This window comes from Homo sapiens, chromosome 5, assembly GCF_000001405.40.
Source record: "Homo sapiens chromosome 5, GRCh38.p14 Primary Assembly".
Lineage (NCBI taxonomy): Eukaryota > Metazoa > Chordata > Mammalia > Primates > Hominidae > Homo > Homo sapiens.
The window spans coordinates 125,645,696-125,669,315 of NC_000005.10; the positions used below are offsets into that span (position 1 = coordinate 125,645,696).

The 23,620-nt window shown below is 36.2% G+C and overlaps 1 long non-coding RNA gene across 1 annotated transcript in view; it reads right to left on the reverse strand.

Annotated features, from left to right (window-relative positions):
* LOC124901056 (uncharacterized) overlaps positions 1–23,620 on the reverse strand; it is an 891,204-nt gene that overhangs the window by 166,601 nt on the left and 700,983 nt on the right. Inside the window, exon 7 of the long non-coding RNA XR_007058919.1 lies at positions 3,906–3,958. This is a non-coding gene — a long non-coding RNA (uncharacterized LOC124901056). The remainder of the gene's footprint in view (positions 1–3,905; positions 3,959–23,620) is intronic.

Below are 23,620 nucleotides of genomic sequence, written 5' to 3' on the forward strand. Positions count from 1 at the left end.
GATTAAATCAGGAGAAAATAGACACTCTGAACACATCAATAACAAGTAGCAAGACTGAAACAGTAATAAAATTATTGCCAGAAAAACGTCCAGGACCAGATGGATACACAGCCAAATTCTATCAGGTATTCTAAGAAGAATTGGTACCAATCTTACTAAATCCTCCCTAAATCATTATATGAAGCCAATAGCATCCTAATACCAAAACCAGGGAAGGACATAACAAAAAGAGAAAACTACAGACCAATATCCCTGATGACCATAGATGCAAAAATTCTCAACAAAATACTAGCTAACTGAATCCACAATATATCAAAAAGATAATGCACCATAATCAACTGGTTTATCATACCAAGGATGCAAGAATGGTTTAACATATGCAAGTTAACAGATGTGACACATTACATAGAGAATTAACAATGAAAATCAGATGATTATCTCAATAGACACAGAAAAAGCATTTGACAAAATCCAGCATCTCTTTATGATTAAAATTATCAACAAAATCAGCATAGAAGGGACATACCTCAAGGTAAGAAAAGCCATTTATGACAAACCCACAGCCAACATTGTGCTGAATGAGGAAAAGTTGAAAGCATTCCCTCTGAGTACTGGAACACAACAAGGATGCCCACTTTCATCACTTCTATTCAACATAGTACTGGAAGTCCTAGCCAGAGCAATAAGACAACAGAAAGAAATAAAGAGCATCCAAACTGGTAAAGAGGAAGTCAAACTGTCGCTGTTTGCCAATGATGTGATCATATACCTAGAAAACCCTAAAGCCTCATCCAAAAAGCTTCTGGATCTGATAAATGATCAGGATACAAAATCAATGTACAAAAATGAGTAGCACTGCTATACACCAACAACAATCAAGCAGAGGATCAAATCAAAAACGTAACCCCTTTTACCACAGCCACAAAAAACAAAAACAAAACAAAACAAAAACTTAGCAATATACCTAACCAAAGAGGTGAAAGATCTCTAACAAGGAAAACTACAAAATACTGCTGAAAGAAATCATAGACAACAAATACAAATAAATGGAATGCTCATGAATGGGTAGAATCAATACTGTGAAAATGACCATACTGCCAAAAGCAACCTATAGATTCAATGCAATTCCCATCAAAATACCACAATGTATTCTTCACAGAACAAGACCAAACAATCCTAAAATTCATATAGAACCAAAAAAGAGCTCACATAGCTAAAGTAAGACTAAGCAAAAAAAAAAAAAAAAAAAAAAAAAAAATTGGAGGCATAGCATTGCCCAATTTCAAACTGTAATACAAAGCTATAGTTACCAAAACAGCATGGTACTGGTATAAAAATAGGCAGATAGACCAATGGAACAGAATACAGAACCCAGAAATGAAGCCAAATATTTACAGCCAACTGATCTTGAACAAAGCAAACAAAAACAAAATGGGAAAAGAACACGCTACTCAACAAATAGTGGTAGGATAATTGGCAAGTCACATGCAGAAGAATGAAGCTGAATCCTCATCTCTCACCTTATATATAAAATCAACTCAAGACTGATGAAAGACTTAAATCTATGACCTGAAACCTTACAAATTATAAAAGATAACATCAGAAAAATTTTCCTTGAGTTTGCTTAGGCAAATACTTCATGACCAAGAACCCAAAAGTAAATACAACAAATACAAAGATAAATAGATGGGACTTAATTAAATGAAAATGCCTCTGCACAGCAAAAGAAATAGCAGAGTAAAAAGACAACACAAGAGTGGGAGAAAATCTTTGCAAACTATGCATCTGACTAAGGACTAATATCCAAAATCTACAAAGAATTCAAATGAATCAGCAAGAAAAAAAAAAAAAGCAATCCCGTCAAAAAATAGGCAAAGGACATGAATAGATAATTCTCAAAAGAAGATATACAAATGGCCAACAAACGTATGAAAAAAATGCTCAAAATCACTAATTATCAGGGAAATGCAAATCAAAACCACAATGAGATACCACCTTACTCCTACAGGAATGGCCATAATTTTAAAAATCAAAAAATGATAGATGTTGGTGAGGATGTAGTGAAAAGGGAACACTTTTACACTGTTGGTGGGAATGTAAACTTGTACAACCACTATGGAAAACAGTATGGAGATACCTTAAAGTACAAAAAGTAGAACTACTGTTTGATCCAGCAATCCCTCTATGGGTATCTATTCAGAGAAAAAAAAGTCATTATATGAAAAAGACACTTGCACATTGATGTTTATAGCAGCACAATTCACAACTGCGAAAAAATGGGGCCAACTTAAATGCCCATCAACCAATGAGTTGATAAAGAAAATGAAATGCTACTCAGCCTTAAAAAGGAATGAAATTATGGCATTCACAGCAACCTGGATGGAGTTGGAGACCATTATTCTAAGTGAAGAAACTCAGGAATGGAAAACCAAACATCATATGTTCTCACTTATAAGCATGAGGATGCAAAAGTGTAAGAATGACACAGTGGACTTTGGGGACTTGGGAAAAAGACTGGGAAGGGGGTGAGGGATAAAACACTATAGAATGGGTGCAGGGTACACTGCTTGGGTGATGGATGCACCAAAATCTCAGAAATCATCACTAAAGAACTTTCCCATACAACCAAACACTGCCTGTTTTCCCAACCTATTGATATTTTTGTTAAAACAAGAGAATACAGAAATTGTAAGTATATATGTACCGAACATTGGAGCACCTTATATATAAAGCATACGTTATATATAATGTACCTAAATATATAAAGCATACATTAAAATATCTAATACCTAAATATATAAAGCATACATTAAAATATCTGAAGAGAGACCTGGATGGCAACACATTAATAGGAGATTATTTCAATATTCCATTTTCAACACGAGATATTCAGACAGAAAAGCAAGGAGGAAACATTGGACTTGAACTACACTCTAGACCAAATGGACCCAACAGATATATAAGAACATTCCACCCAACAACAATAGGATAAACTTTCTTCTCAGGGCACACAGAATATTCTTCAAGGTAGATCATATGTTAAGCCACAAAACAAGTCTTAACAAATTTAAGACAACTGAAATCATAGCAAGTGTCTTTTCTCAACACAATGGTATTAAACCAGAAATCAATAACAGGAGGAATCATGGAAAATTAATAAATACACATAAATTAAGCAATATGCTCCTGAACAACTATTGAATCAAAAAGTTAAAGGAGGAATTAAAATATATATCATGAGACAGACAAAAGCGGAAACACAGAATACCAAAACTTATGGGATACAGCAGAAGCAGTTCTAAGAGGAAAGTTTATAACAATAAATATCTAATCAAAAAAGAATAAAGATCTCTGAAAAACAACCTAATGTTATACCTAAGGGAACTAAAACAAACAGAATGAACTAAGCTCAAAGTTAGCAAAAGGAAAAAAATAGAAAAGATCAGAGCAGAAAAAAATGAAATGGAGACTAGAAAAATTATAGGATTAACAAAGCTAAGAGTTGTTTTTTAAAAGATAAACAAAATTGACAAATCCTTAGCTAGAACAATTGAGAAAAAAGGGAAGACTCAAGTAAACTAGACATGAAGGACAGTCATTACAAATGATAACAGAAATACAAAAGATCATAAAAGACTACTATGAACAATTATACTCCAACACATTGGACAATCTAGAAGAAAGTGGATAAATGGATAACCTACCAAAACTGAATCACAAAGAAATTGAAAATCTGAACAGACCAATAATGAGTAAAAAGATTAAACCAGTAATTTGAAGTTTTCCATCAAAGAGAAGCCCGTGGCCAAATGGCTTTATGGCTGAGTTCTACCAAACATGTAAAGAATACCTACTACCAATCTTTCTTAAATTTGTCCAAAAATTGAAGGGAAGGGAATACTTACAAAGTCATTTTATGAGACTGGAAATGCCCCGACACCAAAGCCAGACCAAGACACTACAAAAACAGAAAACTACACATCAGTATCACCGATAAACATAGATGCAAACATTTTCAACAAAATACTAGCAATTCTGTTCAACATACTACTAGAAGTCTTAGCCAGAGAAAATAGGCAAGAGAAAGGAACAAAATGTATGTAAATAAGAAAAAAAATTGAAATTATCTTTGTTTGCTGACAATGTGATCTCACATATAGAAAACCCTAAAGATTTCACCAGTAAACATTTATAGCTGAAGAACAAATTCAGCAAAGTTTCAGGATACAAAATCAAATTACAAAAGTGAGTAGTCTTTCAGTACACCAACAAGGAAATTAAGAAAACAATTCTACTTATAGTATCATACAGGGCCGGGTGTAGTGGCTCATGCCTGTAATCCCAGCACTTTGGGAGGCCGAGGAGGGCAGATTGCAAGGTCAAGAGATTGAGACCATCCTGGCCAACATGGTGAAACCTCGTGTCTACTAAAAATACAAAAATTAGCTGGGCATAGTGGTGCGTGCCTGTAGTCCCAGCTACTCAGGAGGCTGAGGCAGAAGAATAGCTTGAACCCAGGAGGCGGGGTTGCAGTGAACCGATTTCATGCCACTGAACTCCAGCCTGGCGACAGAGCGAGACTCCATCTCAAAAAAAAAATCAAAAAAAAAATCATACAAAATATAAAATACTTGGGAATAAATTTAACTAAGAAAGTGAAAGATATGTCTACTGAAAAGTTATATAAAACATAAATGAAAGAAGACACAAATAAATGGAAATACATCTTGTGTTCATGGATTGGAAGGATTAACATTTTTTAAATGTCTATACTGTCCAAAGTGAGATACAGATTTAATGCAGTCCCTATCAAAATTTGCTTATTCTTCATAGAAATACCAAAAGCATTACTAAACTTCATATGGAACCCCAAAAGAAGACAAATAGCCAAAGCAACCTTGAGCAAAAAGAAACTTGAGCAAAAGAACAAGCTGAAAGCATCATACTACCAGATTTCAAAATATACTATTTTGTATAGTATAACAGCATGGTACTGTCATTAAAAGCAAATATATGAACTAATGGAATAGGATAGAGAGCCCAGAAATAAACCCACACAGCTATAGTCAATTGATTTTCAGTGAAAATGCCAAGAACTCACAATGGGGAAGGACAATCTATTTAACAAATGAGAGCTTGGAAAAGTGGATATCCACATGCCAAAGAGCGAAAATAGACACTTACCTTATCCTTTACACAAGTTTCAACTCGAAATGGATAAAAGACTTAAATGTAAAACCCGACACTGTAAAACTAACAAAAGAAAACAGAGGAAAAGCTGCATGGCATTGGTCTGCACAGTGATTTCTTGGATATGACCTCAAAATCACAGACACTAAAAACAAAAATAGACAATGGGATTGTATCAAACTACAAAGCTTCTGCAAAGCAAAGGAAGCAATAAATATAAACAGGCAACCTACAGGCTGAGAGAAAATACTTGTAAATTATATATTAGATAAGGGGCTAATATCCAAAATATACCAGAAACTCAAACTATTGAACAATAAAAATCAAATAACCCTATTTTAAAAATGGACAAAGAACTTGAATAGACATTTCTCAAAAAAAAAGACATACAAATGGGCAACAGATATATTTTTAAAATACTCAAATTCTGCAATCAGAGAAATGCAAATAAAAGTAACAAGGAGATATCACATCACAACTGTTAGATTGGGTATTATCAAAAGCATGAAAGATTACAAATGTTGGCGAGGAGAAAGGGAATCCTTGTACACTGCTGTGGTATTGTAAATTAGTTCAGCCATTTTGGAAAACATTATGGAGGTTCCTAAGAAACTAAAAATAGAATTACCAAATGATCCAGCAATCCCACTTCTATGTGTATACCTAGAGGAATTGAAGTCAGTATGTCAAAGAGATGTCTGCACTGTCATGTTTATTGCAGCATTATTCACAATAGTTAAGATATGGAAATAACCAAGATGTTCATCAGTGGATGAATAGAATTTTTAAAACTCGAATATGTATATACAAATGGAATAATATTCAACCATAAGAAAAAACCTGGAAATTCTGTCATTTGTGACAACATGCATGAAACTAGAGGACTGTTTTTGTTTTTTTTTTCTTTTTTTTGAGACAGAGTCTCGCTCTGTCACCCAGGCTGGAGTGCAGCGGCACGATCTCGGCTCACTGCAAGCTCCGCCTTCCGGGTTCACGCCCTTCTCCTGCCTCAGCCTCCCGAGTAGCTGGGACTACAGGCATCCGCCACCACGCCTGGCTAGTTTTTTTGTATTTTTAGTAGAGACGGGGTTTCGCCGTGTTAGCCAGGATGGTCTCGATCTCCTGACCTTGTGATCCGCCCGCCTCAGCCTCCCAAAGTGCTGGGATTATAGGCATGAGCCACCGCGACCGAAACTAGAGGACATTATGTTAAGAGAAATACTGCAGACACAGGAAGATAAATACTGAACAATCTCACTTATATGTGGAATCTATAAAAGTAAAACTCAGAAGTAGTGAGTAGAATGGTGCTTGCCAGAGGCTGGGAGTTCGAGGTGGATAGGGAAAGAGAAGATGACATTGGTAAGTGGGTACAAAGTTTCAGTTAGGTAGGAGAAATAAGTTCTGAAATTCTATTGCATACCATGATTACTATAGTTAATAATGATGTATTATATATTTCAAAATAGCTAAAAAGATTTTAAAGTTCTCACAAGGAAATAATAGTTGAGGTGATAGTATTATACTAATTATCCTGATTTGATCATTCCATAATGTAAACGGGTATTGAAAAGTAACATACAGCATATATATAACTGTCAATTTTTAAAAATGTAAAAAAATTAAAGTTGCTATAAACATTCAGAAAATTAACTGACCATATTGTTGTGGTGAATTTCTTATATAGTTGGGAATGCATTTGTATACCCAGTCTGATTATCTCTGCCTTTTACAATGTTTACACTCCTGTGATTTTGATGTATTTAGATGTTCAGACTCATGTGAATTTAATGTAATTAATATGCTTCTGTTTGAATTAACCATGTTGCTATATGTAAGGAATATTTTTCCTACTAGTTCTTTATTTTATTCCTTTTTTACATTTTGGAAGGTCTGTGTACTTCTTTTTTATTGTATCTATACTATTTGTCTGTACGATATATTTCCATGCTTCATCTACTAAGTGCTTGTCCTAGAGTTCATAACATGCATCATTAACTTAGCATGGTATACTTTCCGGTAATAGTATACTAATTCCAGTATCATCTAAGAATATTTTTCTTTCCTTTGTACTATGCAGAGTCATGCAATTAGCATATGCAGATGTAAGTCAAGAACATTTTGCTCACAGAGATTTAGAATCTCTCAAAATAGTCATTGTATCCATCAGTATAAATTAGCCTTTGTCTCAAAAAGTTAAGAAAGGGAATAAAAATATGATGAAAGGGTACATTAGTTAAGACTACATAATGACTATCACATACCTCATTTATATTGAAAATAATTATTTACATTTCTGATCAATAACTTATTTTTTAGTTTATGTATATTAAATCTGACCAAAATATGATGGAAAATACAGGATAAATTAAATATAAACCCAGCTTCCAAATAATTTATATTCTTTTATGAGCAGGAAAACATGACTTTTAGAAGGCTATATTGTACTGTAGTATTTATAATAATGTACTCAGAGACAGGTGCAAACGCTGTGGTAATTCAAGTCAAAAAGGACAACTAGGAGATAAGTTTAGAAGGAACCATTGAGTTGCTCTTAGGGAAACCACTAATAATTTTAATTACGTAAGTGGTATGATTAGAGTTTTGTTTAAAATCTAAAACTGATAAATGCATCAGATGACTTGGAGAGATAAATTAGGGAACTTCAGTAGTCCACAGGAGAGTCAATGAAAAGTCGAACTGAGATGGCAAAGAAAACAGGACAAAACATGTAGGTAATCAAACAACTGCTGTGGTGAGAAAAATAAGAACAAAAATGGCTGTGTGATGCTAGTATCTCAATATAAATTAAAGTAATAAGAAAGAATAAAATTTTCCTATATGGTGACAGTGGGAACTATGGAAATGATGAGTTTAAAGTGTCACTGAGGCATTCATATGAACATTGCTTAGGAGTCAGGTGAACATACAAGACTGAATTTGGGGGAAAATCGGGATTTTCTATATAATTTTACCTAGAGATTTGTACCGGCATGCCAAATGAAGCTGTTGGATGGGTGAGATATTTAATAGAGAGAATGTAGCAAGAGAGCAAAAGTGGACCAAGACAAAATTCAGAAATAGTGACTTTAGGATACAGGAACAGAAAGAGCAGCTTAAGAAGAAAACATGTAAGAATTCGTAAAGATATGAGATGATATCTCAGGTAGTGATTTTAAGGGAATCAAAGAAAAATTGAGGTGAAAGAATGAAAGGTCACCAGCAGTAATTGACATTGGAAGAATGAGAATTAAGACAAATCCTTGATTTAGAGACTTTAGAGGTCATTTGTGACATATGAGAGAGAAACTTCAGTTAGACTATTTGACAAAGTCAAATTTCACAACATTAGAAAAATGAAACCATCTATAAACATAGAATGATCTTTTTAGTAAGTAAAAAAAAAAAAACAAAAAGACTGTCAACATAGTCTGAATATATAATTAGACAAAGAAAAAGAGATTGATAAGTGAAAAGAAGGAGAGGGTTAATTGAGAGCCAAGGTGTCCAAAGAACAGAATAGAACCAGAAGAGGGAGTTTCAGAAAGGAAGCATATCATTTATTCTGAATAGGAGGGGAGAAAATAAGGAAGAATAAAGACAAAAGACCATTAAGTGTGAAGAGAGTGAAAACTCAAGGAGTTCTAGTCTGTTGTTCCTTGTCTATTCTGTGAAGCAGGAATGTGAAGAGTAGGCATGAAAGAAATGACTTCAGAGTGGGAAAGAGTGGCTTTCACAGCAGTGAGGACAGGAACCAGAAAGTGTCAAGAGGCAATGAGAACACCTGAGGTTAGACAGCATAAAAATCAAAGGAATTCCATTGGGAGTTAAAGATTGTTTAGATATTTTCTGCATATTTGTCTACCTGTTTGAAGTTTTGCCAAATATAATGCTAATTCATGCCATGAAAATAAAGATTCTTGAAAATTCTTTATGAGAGAAATCTGGATGCCAAAGTGCTCATTTTGCTAAAATACTTTCAAAATTTGCTGTCTTATCCAAAATGTTTAAATCCCTACCTCATTCAAAGTAGACATTTTCTTGTATTTTAAATATCATTTTCCTTCATGCAAATGAGATAATTTTGAATATAAAAATAAATTGCTACAATGAAAAAGTTGAATTTATGTAGATAGGATTTTTTGTTTGTAAGAAAATCTTAATTTCAAGGATTATACAAAATCTGTGTTCTATAAAAATCTTAAAATTTACCTTCTAGTAAAATGTATATTTTATAAGAAATAAAAAATATGCACTAAGCCTCCTGAAAAAATGCTTACCAGAAATAGTTAACCTGCTGAACCTGTGAATAAACATTTCTTTGGTAGCACATGGTAGTATTCACACAATTGGATTCCAAAATATGTTTTTCCAATGTTATTTAAAAACATTCAGTTTGTGTAATGAACAACAATAGTGCCAGTAATCAAAGAAATCAGGATTGTCAACAGTGAGAAAAAATGTCTCCTAGCAACCAAGTTTCAATTACTCTTTGTTTGCTAACAAGCACTCAGATATTTCATGCTGGTAGCTTTATTCCAGAGAGTAATGCATTATCAAAGACCATGAGAGAGAGCTCCTGTTTTAACTGGCTTTCATTTCCAATCAAACATCTTGCAATTAATTTTATTAGTGTTTTAGACCTAATTTACTCTGAATAAGCCATAACTATGATTTGTTATTGTCATGTTCTAAAGGAATTGTAATATGGAATAATTATTTGTTTAAATAATGGAATCATGGGCATACAGATGATACTCCCACAAAGTAAAAATTTATTATCATTAATAATAAGATTAAACAAAATCATATCCCAGAATTGATCCCAGGAGGACCCTTTAGCTATTTTAGTTGAACTAGAAATAATACTGCTAATTAAGATATACCACTGACTGTCATAGCAGTAGTCACAAAGACCATTTACTGGTGCCTAATAAAAACTCTCTATTGCCAATAAGGATACATGTAAAAGTACACTCTTAGTTGAAATCTATCCAAATTATGAATATTATATATCAAAGTTTGGGAACATTCTCATTCAAAGCATATATACTAATTACTTTATACCATTTAAATTGGGTTAATGACTGTTAAAACTACACTATTTGAGCTGAACTTCTTCTGCATGTAGTGGGTGAAGCCTATACCTCTTACTTGTTTTTTATATGAAGATAATCCAGAGGATTGAATTTACCAGGAGCTCAGCGTTTGAGTAGAACCAACCTGGCAGTTGTTGATACAACAATTATTTCTCTCACTATTGGATTTTAGCAATCCATCTCATCTGGACCTACTAAAGAGAAGAGGTGCATGGAAAATAGCCAAAAAAAGATACTCAATAATATTGCAGCATTATTTTTATGTAATCACACACACATACATACACACATACATACAATTACAAGTCAGCATGATAAATAGCTGAAGTCCATACCAAAGTAGCCGAAGCTACAATTGTGTAGCCACTCAAAACATGTTTTCAAACTGTTCATTTGGACATAGATTTCTGTTTAATAGATATTTCATTTTTTACTTAATGATATTGGCATTATGTAGAAACTGACATTCTGTGTTCCAGATTAGATTCCGTAGAAATTTAGAGGTACTCAAATTGGCATTTATAAATATTCTTGGGTAATCTATTATTTGTATTATTCTTAGCTAAAGGTGAAAGATGGGTGATCTCATTTAAATTTACTTCAATTGAATAAAATTATCAAACTAAGTGGAATAATTTCTTTTAAGATTTCTTCACTTTCTTATAATTACCTAATTAACATATATACAACCTTTAAGACTTTTTTCTTTGATGCCTTCTGTAGCTAAAATGTCAAAATCTCTACTTTGTATGTAGAATTGTGAATATAAGTATATTTATCCACATTTTAACAATGTCTGTGGTTTTTGGCTCTTTCATATTACTTCCCAAACAGGAGGAATAAATCGCAGATCTTATGATGGTATTCAAGCCTACTTTTAGCATTAAGTTGCATATTCTACCTTTCCAAGACAGACTTATTGCTTATAAGTTATATAAGCACAGAAATAAGTGGGATTAAATATAGAAAATGATGAAATTGTCTAAGTACTAGTAATCCTCTTTGTTTTTAAAAAATATTATGAAATATAATAGTACAATATAAAATATATGCTTTAAAACAGACATTTTCTCAATAACAATTTTTTTTTATCTTCAAGAAAGAAGAGTTAATTGGAAAACAAAGATTTCAGTAAAGTGCTATTTTCAGAAGAAATAATTTTACCACGTTTGTCGAAATGCTGTTTTTACACAGTATACTAGAAAAAGATTAGCTACAGTCTGCTTTTGAGCAATGAGTTAGATTCTGAGCATGGAAATGCATCAGTTTTTAGAGGCAATTCCATAGCCACCATTTTTACAGTTTTAATATGAAGTTTTGCATGACAAATATAAAGTGATCTGCCTCCCCATCCTCGAGATAGTAAACAAAGGTGAAAAGAATTAAAAAAAAAAAAACCCACTAACAACACAGGGAAACAATACTCAAAGAACAAGACTCAAGAGACTTATCTTCTAAACTCAGTAGAACTGGATCTCTGCCAAATTATGTAAGTTCTTTGAGTCTTATTTTTCACATCAGTAAAGTGCGTATTCTGAATTAAAAGATATTCTTTGAAAACTAATCTATTTCCTCAAAAACATGGAAATATTCACGTGAGCATTCCGTGAGGGATGAGGGGCAACACTGTGACAGTGAATTCTGTCTATCCCATTGGCAGAACTGGGATTTTTATAAATGTTTCAGCAGGGAGACAGAAATGCCATCAGTGTCAATCTCTTCTTTCCACTGGGAATTCTGGCAAATCTGGACGTCAATGATATAGGTACTTTGCTGGTCTGAATTTTTTTTTATAACTCATTTATCTATGAAAAAAAGGCAAATTAACACATTCCAGGACAAACGAAAACAGAGAAGTTGGTACTAACAGACATATATTACAGGGAATGTCTGTAAGCTTTTTAAGGCTGAGATTAAGTGACCCTGACAGATAATTTGAATTAACATAAGAGTTTCTAGTTGCACATGCTTATACATACATGTGTGCATAGGCCAGAGGATAAAATGCATCGCTGCTGGCCAACAACTCATATAGTGGAGGCTTGAGCACACCATGCTTATTCCCAGAGTTCCAATGCTCTGCTTTTGAACCATTACCATGCCTTTCAGCAGCACTGTCAACAGAGCTCAGAGAAGGTCTTGAACTCCAGAGAATGAATGAGATATGCCAAATGAAGCATAATTACTTTATTGACGTCATTCAGCTTTCAACTCACATTTAATGAGAAAGCTTCTACTGCTTGAAACAGTGGGCCATTTGTAGCACATTATGCAAATGATAAGACTAATCTTTTGCATTATACATAAGAGCTGCTTATTGTGCATTAACTAATTTATCTGACTAGGAAGGGGCTATGAATGCTGATTTTTATTAAGCTCTTCATTAAGTGAAAATGTAGGCATGGCAAGTGCATATATTAGTATGTGCCTGTCTTGCATGGATGAATAAATACATATACACATCTAGTTACCAAGTGACATTCTTTTGGTGGCAAAAATCATCAACTTTAACTTTTTTTTAGTCACATCAGTAAGATGAGAAAGTGAAAATTAAACACTCAATGGAAAAGACTCTTGTATCATTAAAAAATCACCACTTTTTTTTATCATAGTCCTAAAAGTGTTTTTTAAAAGAACAGAATGTGTAGCCTAAAGTCAATAGTTTAAATCTTAAGTATCCTTGAGTATCCAGTGACTATTTTTATGATCATAAAAAGCCGACAATGAATAATTGAACACCAAGTCAAATTAATAACCTCAGTTTTTATATATGCTTAATTTGAGTAGAATAAAAGAAAAAAAGAGCAAAATAGTATTCTATTAAATATACAATAATCAATTTGGTCTAAATCTAGGCAGGAATGTCTAGATGAACACGTGAATAATGTAATCCTCACTTAATTAGCACATTTCATTAAGGCACACATTTAAAACAAACCCAGCCTCTACATAGACAGGCACATCTCAGCAAGTTGTGTAAAATTTGACCAACTTTCACAAGAGAAGAAATACCAAAAATATCACACTTTATTTGCTTGATGAAATTGATATAAATCTATCTTAGCCAATGTATATTGGGAACTCTCTATATGCAAATTGTTATGAGTATTTTAAGCTTATTACTTAAAAAAAATTTTAACAATCCTGTTAACAGCTCCCCAATAGGAGATGAGTAAGTGATTATTTCTATAACTGGTTTTCAAGGTGAAAAGGCTAAAGGAAATGAAATTAGCCTCTATCTTTGAAGATACTATATAGTAGCAATGACTAGGCAACAGACTGGGGAGGGGCAGAGATGCCGAATGCACCTCTGACTTCAAATTTGAGTTCTTAGTTTTAGTTCATTAAAATTAATGACCAATCACTGCATGTCATGCATGAGGAACAGCTCATTCCTTTATCAGTCAGGTAAACTGAAACACACACTACATGACACAAAACCAGCCCTGGGATTTGGCCATGAGCCCAACTTAACTGCAGAATGTTTATAAAATTATTAAAATTTATGGGTTGATAGCACTCTCAAGCAATTTATTATAGCTGTAAACCATTTTTAACTTTTGAAAACACAATAAAGTTGATTTAATAATCCCCCTAATCTTATACACAACTTCCTCCAGAATTTTCTTCAATTATGCCTCATAAATTACAATTTATTGTATATTAGAGAAACACTAAAAAACAAATACTTCATGAGAATTTCATCAGATTCATTTATTCTGAAACATTTGCCAGAGAGCATAACAAATTCACATGTGACCCCTGTACTCTAAAGAGCTGAAGTTCAAACCAAAGCCACAGTGGAGAGTTCCTTTGCCAAGGATAATAACTAAAATCTTCCCTTGACTTGAGCCAGGACCTCAGCTTTAATGAATGCCGGGTCAAGAAGTCATGAAGAAAGAGGGGGGCAGTTCTAGGGAAATTCTGTCTATTCAAAAAACAGCTTGAATTGCAAAGCACAGATAGTCACCGTCACCTCTTTGTAGGACTTTGTTAGAGAACAAGCAACTGAAAAGAGAGATCACAAAGAGGCAGTAATTTTAAGCACACATTGTGTTTTCCTCAGGAGCAGCAGGACATCAGTATAAGCCCATTTACTGAGATTTAACAACTTTTAAGTGAAAATTTCATACTTTTAAAAATAGAATTTACGTTTAGGATCCAGAACCCTGCTTGAAGTATAATCCCCAATTGCGTATAGTCTGCCTTAAGGCAGAATTATTTCCTGGACCCAGTAGGTCTTGTGACTTACAGAACTTTATTTTCATAATTAAAACAGAAGGTTTTGAAAGTATGAGGAATTCATCAAATGTAACAAAAAGAAAATATATTTATAATAGATATGCTTCCTGGTTCAATGGGGAAAGAAGGATGGACATAATCATTTCCTGAGGAAAGTCTATGTGCAGTCAGAGGAAATATTGTACCAACATTCCTTAAATATTTCAGGTTTGTGCCTTCATGCTCACTTTAGGAGGCTGGAGGCTGAAAGCCCTAGTCAAGTAAATTTACCATTGACTTTAATATGCTAAAATTGCAACTGGTGATTTCCTGGTCTTGCGGATACCAGACTTTAGAGTGAAGCTGGCTCTGGGAGAACCTTTCAGGAGCAGGGAATTACTTCCAAAATGAGAGTTGTTTTTACTTGGGATATCCACAGGATCTGTCTTCTTAACATGAACAAGATCCCCTCATGGGACTCAAGAGCAATCAGAAAACAGGAGATGATGCTATCATGGACTTAGTCATACCAAAGGAGCTTTAACAGTCCTAAGACCATAGTGGGCCTAGTGGTGTCAGTTTAAAGTCAGAACCCCATAGAAAACTTACCTGGGCTCTTGTTTCTTTCTTTTCTCCTTGTTTACTCTGCCCCTAGTGCCTGGTGCTCTAAATGCTTGACTATGATACATGCTGTTCAAAGAACAGGTCTATGTGCTCTCCTTTCCTTGTTCATGTGGTTGGGTGTCTATACCTGTACCAATGATTCTCCTACCATCTTGGCCACCATAGCATCAAGTAGACACCCAGCCTAAGTTGGGTCAATGAAATTCCTCTCCCTGAAATACTGAGATAATTAAATGTATAAAGCTGAGGTAAAATCCTGAAGACCAAGGATTGAGGGCACTATTTTGTGGTGACCATGATGACTATGAGCAGAAGAGACTGGTCTACAGAGGAAAAAGCATAGAAAGCATTATAGAGAGAAGGAGGAATAAGTGAATATGAGACCATAGGGAGAGCTAGAGAAAATATCTGTCCTCTCTTTTCCCTATGATTTATCAGTTCCTGTGACGTCTACATGTATTTCTAACTCTTGGATCCTTTATATTCTCCTGTTCTATAAAGCCCATTTTAATTTGATCTAGTATGCCTACACTTCAGTAAATAACCCATCTTATATTCAAGAAATAAAAAATAAAATTACAAAGTATTTTGAACTAAATTAAAAGTTGATTCTTTTTGTTTTTGAATTTTTTTATAATTTCTACTTTTATTTTAGATACAGGAGGTACATGTGTGAGTATGTTACATGGGTATATTGCATAATGCTGAGGTTTGAGCTATGGAACCCATTACCCAGGTAGTCAGCATAGTACCCAATAGGTAATTTTTCAACCCATTCCCCCCTTTCTCCCTCCCTGTTCTCATAGTCTGCAGGGTCTATTGTTTGCATCTTTATGTCTATGTATACTCAAAGTTTAGCTCCCACTTATAAGGGAGACCATGTAGTATTTGGTTTTCTGTTCCTGCATTAATTTGCTTAGGATTATGGCCTCCAGTTGGATCCATGTTATTGCAAAGGATATGACTTTTTTATGGCTGCATAGTATTCCATGGGATATATACACCAGAATTTCTTTATCCAACCCACCACTGATGGGCACCCAGGTTGATTCCATGTCTTTGCTTTTGTGGATAGTGCTGCAAGAAATATACAAGTGCGTTTGTCTTTTCAGTAGAATAATATTTTTTCCTTTGGGAATATACCCAGTAATGGGATCGATTGGTTGAATGGTAGTTTTAAGTTCTTTGAGAAATCTCCAAACTGCTTTCCAGTGGCTGAAGTAATTTACATTTTCACCAACAGTGTATAAGCATTCCTTTTTCTCTGTAGCCTTGCAAACATCTGTTATTTTTTGAATTTTTAATAATAGCTATTCTGACTGGTGTGTGGTGTTAGATTGTATCTCACTGTGGTTTTGGCCTTTGATTATTAGCGATGCTGAGTATTTTTTCATATGTTCATTGGTTGTACATCTTCTTTTGAGAAGTATGTTTGTTCATGTCACTTGCCCAGATTTTAATGAGGTTGTTTTTTGCTTAAGTTCCTTATAGATTCTGGATATTAAACCTTTGTTGGATGATAGTTTGCAAATATTTTCTCCCATTCAGTAGATTGTCTGTTTACTCTGTTGATAGTGTCTTGTGCTGTGCAGAAGCTCTTTAGTTTAATTAGGTCCTATTTGTTAATTTTTGTTTTTATTGCAATTGCTTTTGGTATCTTTGTCATGAAATCTATGCCAGGTCCTATGTCCAGAATGGCATTTCCTAGGTTATCTTTCAAAGTTTTTATAGCTATAGGTTTTACAAGTCTTTAATCCATCTTGAGTTGATTTTTTATAAGGTATAAAGAATGGGTCCAGTTTCAATTTTCTGCATATGGCTAGCCAGCTATCCCAGCACCATTTATTGAATAAGGGGAGTTCTTTGCCTATCGCTTTTGTCAGCTTTGTCAAAGATCAGATGGTTGTAGGTGTGCAACTTTATTTCTGGATTCCCTCTTCTGTTCCATTGGTCTATGTGCCTGTGTTTGTACCATTACCATGCCATTTGGTTACTGTAGTCTTAAAGTATTGTTTGAAGTCAGGTAATGTGATGCCTCTAGCTTTGTTCTTTTTGCTTAGGATTGTTTTGACTATTTGGGCTTTTTTGATTCCATGTGAATTTAGAATAGTTTTTTTCAAATTCTGTGTAAAATTATCTTTCATTTTCATTTTCTGATTACCTTAGATTACATAACCCATTCCTTCAACCCTTCTCTATATGTTGTCAGCATCTTTGTGTCCTTTTATCCACCCATCCATAAAAGAGCCAACACAGAATATCTGTTTTCAAAGCCTGTACCAGGCTGATGCGTTAATGCTGCCAGAGTAAAACTACATCTGTGGTGACTACTCTCAGTATGTCCTGTAAAATTGCCCAGCAACTTGGTTTTGTTTGTAACAACTAATTCTGCTTGTTGGGAGGACATGCCCAAAGGCAAGGCAAGGGGGCAGCCTCTACAACTCTTCTAGGTGGGAGACAGTGGGTATCATCATGATATCCCTCAATGGCAGCATATCCTGCTTGTAAAGGAGGGTTTTTTTTGATGCGCTGCCATCTATAAACCAATCTGGGGCTCCCTTTATGTGAGTGGAAGTAAGGTGGTGAAACATGGTGAGAGAACTTTCAATGAGATCAGTGTGAGTGTTGGTCGGAGTTCAAAATTGGTGTTGAAGGTAAAAGAGTGATGGGATTATGATGGGAGTATCTATGAGGAGAGATAGAGTGTTGAAGGAGAGTTGAATGCAGGGCTTGCGTGCAAGAGGATGAGGTGGAGGTGAGTGCCTTATGGCTGAGCATATCTTGTAGACTGTGAGAGGAAAATACCTGAAGGGGTTCATAGAATGTGAGTTTTTGTGCCTCAGGGATAATTAGAGAGGTTGTGGCCAAAACTTTTAAGCAAAGGGGCCAGGTTTTGTAAATGGGATCTAGTTGGTTTGAAAAACATGCCACTGGTTGGAGGGAATCTCCCATGGGTTAGGCTAGTAGTCCAAGGGCCTGATTATAAGAAGTGTGTAAATATACATAAAAAGGTCTTAGGGGATTTGGAAGGCCTAAAGTGGGGGCCTGTAATAAAGCATGTTTTCGGTGAGAGAAAGCATGATAAACATCTGGGGTGGGATTGAGTGGTTGGTCAATATTTCCTTGTGTGTGTTTATAAAGGAGTTTACTGATAATAGAAAAATTTGCTATCCATAATCAGAAATATCCCACTTATCCAAGGAAAGAAAGTAAGTCCCTTTTTGTTTTAGGAATTGGGATTTGTTGAATGCCTTGCTTTCATGCAAGTGGAATTTCTTGAGTATTTCGAGTTATGATTAATCCTAGGTATAAAGCTTTTGGAGGTTAATTGGGCTTTTTTTTTTTTTTTTTTTTTTTTGGATAACTGGCACCCACATTCAGTGAAAAATTTTAAAAGCCTGGTGGTATGTTGAATACAATGTTTTAGAGTGGGGCTGCAAAGCAGTCAGTCATTCACATATTGAAGCAAAATGCTAGGTTGTAGAGGTAGATGGAAAAGGTCCAACTGAAGTGCATGACCAAAATATTGAGGGCTGTCTCTGAACCCCTCGGGGAGGACAGTCCAGGTAAGTTGTTGGGAATAGCTTGTGCCAGGGTTGGTCCAAGTGAACCCAAAAGGTTTTGAGAGGAGGGATGTAGAGAGATAGTAAAAAAGGCACCTTTGAGGTCTAATACAGAGAAACAGCTAGTGTTGGAAAGAATTCATGATAGGAGGATGTAGGGGTTTTGGACAACAGGATAAACAGGAACCATAGCAGAGTTGATTTGTCGTAAATTCTGAACCAGTCTATAGGAGCCATCTGATTTTTTAATTGGGAGAATAGGAGTATTGTGGGGAGAATGGGTGGGGATTAAAATATTGGCAGCTGGAAGTTGGGAGATGGGCTTGAGTCTCCATAATCCATTAGAGTTGAGGGGAAATCATGGGACCACTATATAGTACTTAGGATCCTTCAGTGAAATTTGAATCTGAATGGCAGGTAGCTATTATGGGGGAGTCGGTGTTCCATACTACGGGATTTATATGGATGAGGAATTTGGAATTTAAGCCTGTTTGATGTGGAGTGTCTGAGGAGAGGCTCTGTTCTCAACATAATAAATACGGGGTTTCTTGTGTGCCTTTCATACTAATGACAGAAACAGATGAATGTTCTAATAGGCCCTGATATTCAGTTAATACCAGTAGGCTCACCCCAGTATCCAAAAGAAAGGAAATAATCTTACTGGATACCGTCCCAATTACCCTGGGTTCCATCACTAGATATGTGGGCAAAGGATCCCAGGCACCCTCAGTCTTCCATTGTCAGTGACAGCAGTGAAGAGATTTCCTCCTGTGATGGTCAGGGGCCTTCATTATGAGCAGCACCCAAACAGGGAAGGTGTCCCCATTGGGGGCAGTCTATTTTCCAGTGTCCCCAAAGACCACAAGTTGGGCATGGTTTGGTGGGGGCCCAGGGGTTAAGACAAGCCTTTGCCCAGTGTCCAGGGTTGCCACATTGGAAACAGACTCCCGGAGAGGTAGAGGAGTTTCCTTTTGGGTTATTGAGAGGCTTTTGTGTAACTGACTTTTGGACAGCAGAGGCAAGCATCTGGTATTTTAAATGGAGATATTTGTCTTTTTGAATCTTTTGTTCATCTTTGTTGTTAAAGACACAGAACGCTACATTTAGGAGTTCCTGCCAAGATGTCTGGAGACCCTCCTCTAATTTTTATAATTTTTTTCTGGATGTCTGGGTCACATTGAGAAATTAGAGGTGAACAAAAGTTTGACCTTCACTAGATTCTGGGTCCAAATTGGTATATTTTAGCATAGCTTCAGTGAGGCATGATAAGAAAAGGGCAGGATTTTCCTGGGGCTTTTATGTAATTTCTCTTTCATAATTAGCTGCCTTATGGACATTTTTGTCCATGCCCGCAAGGAGACAGGTAATCACGTGGTCTCTTCACCTGATGCTACTGTCTCCCTGTTGGTAAATCCAAACTGAGTCTCTATGGGGGACTGCATCATTGGCCACTGAATTTTGTATAGGGGCTTGATTGTGGAATTCATCTGCATGTGTTTCAGCTGAACCCCAGATGCGTTATTTTTCATCAGGAGTGAGGGTGGAGGTTAGAATTATATAAGTATCATGCCAAGTTAAATTAACAGATTGGGTTATGTGGAGGAATTCTCTGTGATAATGAGAGGGATTCTCAAAGAAAGATCCCAGACGCTGTTTGTTCTGTGACAAATCAGACATAGAGAAAGAGACATGAATGTGAGCAACACCTTCAACCCCAGCTACTTCCCAGAGGGAGAATGGCAGACGTGGTCTGACTGGCTGGAGTAGTTTTTAAATGGGTAATGGGTGAAGGAGGAGGGGTGGGGTTTAGGGTTAAAGGCTTGGGGGCAGGAGTGGCCAATGGGGCAGAGGGTTTGGATGGGTGAGGAGCAGATACAGGGGTTTGAGAATACGGAGGGGGTTCACCTTCAAGGTCAAAACAGGTTTCAGAGGAAGGAGAGATCCAGGGAGGGTTTCCATTAAGAAGAAGGATTTCATGAGGGGTACAAACTTGACATAGGGAGGGTTGGCATTTAAGGTAGAAGAAAGCCTGAATATAGGGAACTTCTTGCCATTTGCCATTCTTGGTTATAAAGTTGGCAAGGTCCTTGAGAATTTGAAAGTCAAAGGTGCCAGTTTTGAGCCATCAGCTGTCATTATCTAATTTGTATTAGGGCCAGGCTGTGTTGCAATAAAAAACTAAATGCTTTGACTTTGGGCTCCCCCAAAAGCCAAGTTTGGTGAGGTTGTAAAGAAGACAGCCCAGTGGAGAATATGTGGGAATGTGGAATTGTTTGGCACCCATGTGGATGGGTAAGAGGCAGCCAAGGGTATCTGGTTTTGTTCTAGGCATCCCCAGAAAGAAGACCCAGAATCTTCTTTCTGAAGAGGATGGTTAAGCTGAGAAGAAACTGGGTATCCCCAGGATTTCTAGCTTAGCCCCACTGGTCCTCCGAGGATCAGTACAGCAGACCAGACTTTCTCAGGTACCATTAGAAAGCCAGGGGAAAGCAAATCTTACCAGCATGCTGGATTAGGGTCCAGTGTTGGATGTTCTTGTTGGAATCAGCAAAGGGCCTCCCGAACTGGAGCTATGCAAGGAAGAGAGAGAAAGAGAGAGAGGAGGGAGGAAGAGGGAACAAGAGATAGAGAGTGAAATACCTATTGTGGGTGGTTGCTGGTGGATTCCTGAGACCTGAGGGTTTTGAGAGCCCACTGCAGAGTAGCCCCAGCTCAAGCCTCACAGTTCGCTTCAGATTAGTGATTCATGCAAATCACTCAAAAAGTGAAATGACAGAAAAGATGGGGCGGGTGGCCAGAGACTCAGGATCCAGGAGTTAGCCTGGGATGAGCTGCCACTGCCCACCACTTCCTGGGTTGCAAGAGATCCTCTACCTTCCACACCTGTCCTGGGTTTTGGCACCAAATGCAAGAGATGAAGAAAGAAGAAACAAACACAAAAAGCAGCTCAACAGTCAAAGACAGGCTTACTTTGGAGAATAAACCTGAGAGGAGCTTCTGGCCAATTTTGATCAGGAGCATTCTCTCTTACAGACTAAGGGTATTTAAAGGTTTAGGGAAGAAGAGCTTATCACAGGTTCAGGATGTTTCTGTGTGGAGGAGCATTTTATTGTATTGTGGGGTTGGAATGTCTCTGGTTGGAGGGGAGGTTATCTCGGGGCTGCCATGACTTTGGTTGGAGGGGTATTTATCGCAGGGTTGGAATGTTTCTGGTTGGAGGTGTTATTTGTGGTTTATGGTCATGCTGACATTAACCATTAGGCTGATGTTTTTTGGATTGCATTTAGGCAGTTTTTAATCAAGGGGAACTTAAAATGAGGGTGTTTGTTCAAGATGGTGAAGCTCCTGCTGTCAATGTCAATAGCTTGAAATTGGCCATTGTTAGAGTATTGACACTACAAAAATGAGCAAATGTTACAGATCAGAGCTTATTTTCCTCTCAAAGCGCGGGTTTTAATTCTTTACAAGCACACTGCCTTCCTCCAGTGACATCTAGAGAAGATGGTCAGGAGAGGTGAAAATTGTGGAGGGAAAATGAATGAGACAGTAACTTTGTATTTTATCTTTGTGATTAGAGAATGACTCCCTGCAAAGAAAGGGAGGATGCTTAGTAAACACCTGGTTTGTACATATAAGATAGGAAAATTTGTTTTGAACTGAAAGCTGTAGTCCAAGTATATATTGTTGCTAGATTACATAGTGCATGCTTCATTTGTACAATCTCTTAATTGATTTTACATCAACAAATGGGAGGCATATGACACTACAAATATTTTAATTATGTAACTACAGATATTTTACTTATATAACTACATCTTGATCTGTAGCAAGCACATGCAGTAATTAGATCCAGTTAGATTTTTTCTTTCCCAACTTATTGCCTGAGGTAAATGGCTCTTTGTTAATTTCGAGCCTTTAATATAAATAGCAACACTTTTAAAAAGTTTTTGAGTGTCTGGGTCTGCAGAAATTTTAAAAAGTACATTGATTCTATTATTGAAAAAGATTTTAATAATCACAAGATCTATTTGCGTACATTGGAAAGGAATCAAAATTTTAAAAATGGGTATTAAATATGTCACTCCATCAGTTACTAACAGTGATAAAAGTATCCTACCTATTTATATTTTCTGATCCTCATTTTCCTCATTTGTAAAACGGGGTTATGGTACCTTCCTTTTATGATTGTTGTAGGGATTAAATGAAATGACCTCCAATAAAAGTACTATATAGTGTCTGGCACTTAATAAATGATTGCAATTTTTATATTTTGCTGTCAGGATATAAACAGGTAATCATAATATTTACTGTGGGAACTCTTGGCAGATTTCGTTCCAGAAGTGCATGCCATATTTATTCCATAAGATTCATTATGTTGTTTTCCCTGTGTAATTCCTTTGCATGTCTTATGCATGTAGGCAGTATATTCAGATACAAGACCCTGGCATAACTACGGGGTTATTTGCACTTTAAGGCTTTCTGAAAGAAACCTGTCCCATGAGGTTCATTTCCTCAAACACTGTAAAACTGCAAAGGAAGCAGCTCTTCCTCTCACAGTTCTCAAGTCCTGAAGCAGTATTGCCTTTTATCTTCAGCTGCTTACAAGTCCTCAGAACTCTTGGGGGATAATTGCAATGTAATGCTTTACAGCTGCTTGCTAGGTAATTTACTCAGCTGCCACCACCTGAGGAGATTAGCAGGGATTTCCCCTCCTGACACTGGGCCCCTGGAATTTACAGTCTTTTCCCTTTGTCTTCTGTGGTGGTATCAGTCATCTCCCTCAGGGTTCACTAGGGAGTCAGCCATTTTAAAGTACACAAGTCATTTGCCTGCTGGAGGAAATACCAGGGAACCAATCCTAAGCAGGCTCAGGTAGCTTTCAGGGCATAGTCTCTCTTGGATTAGCCAACCCAGCTAAACCTG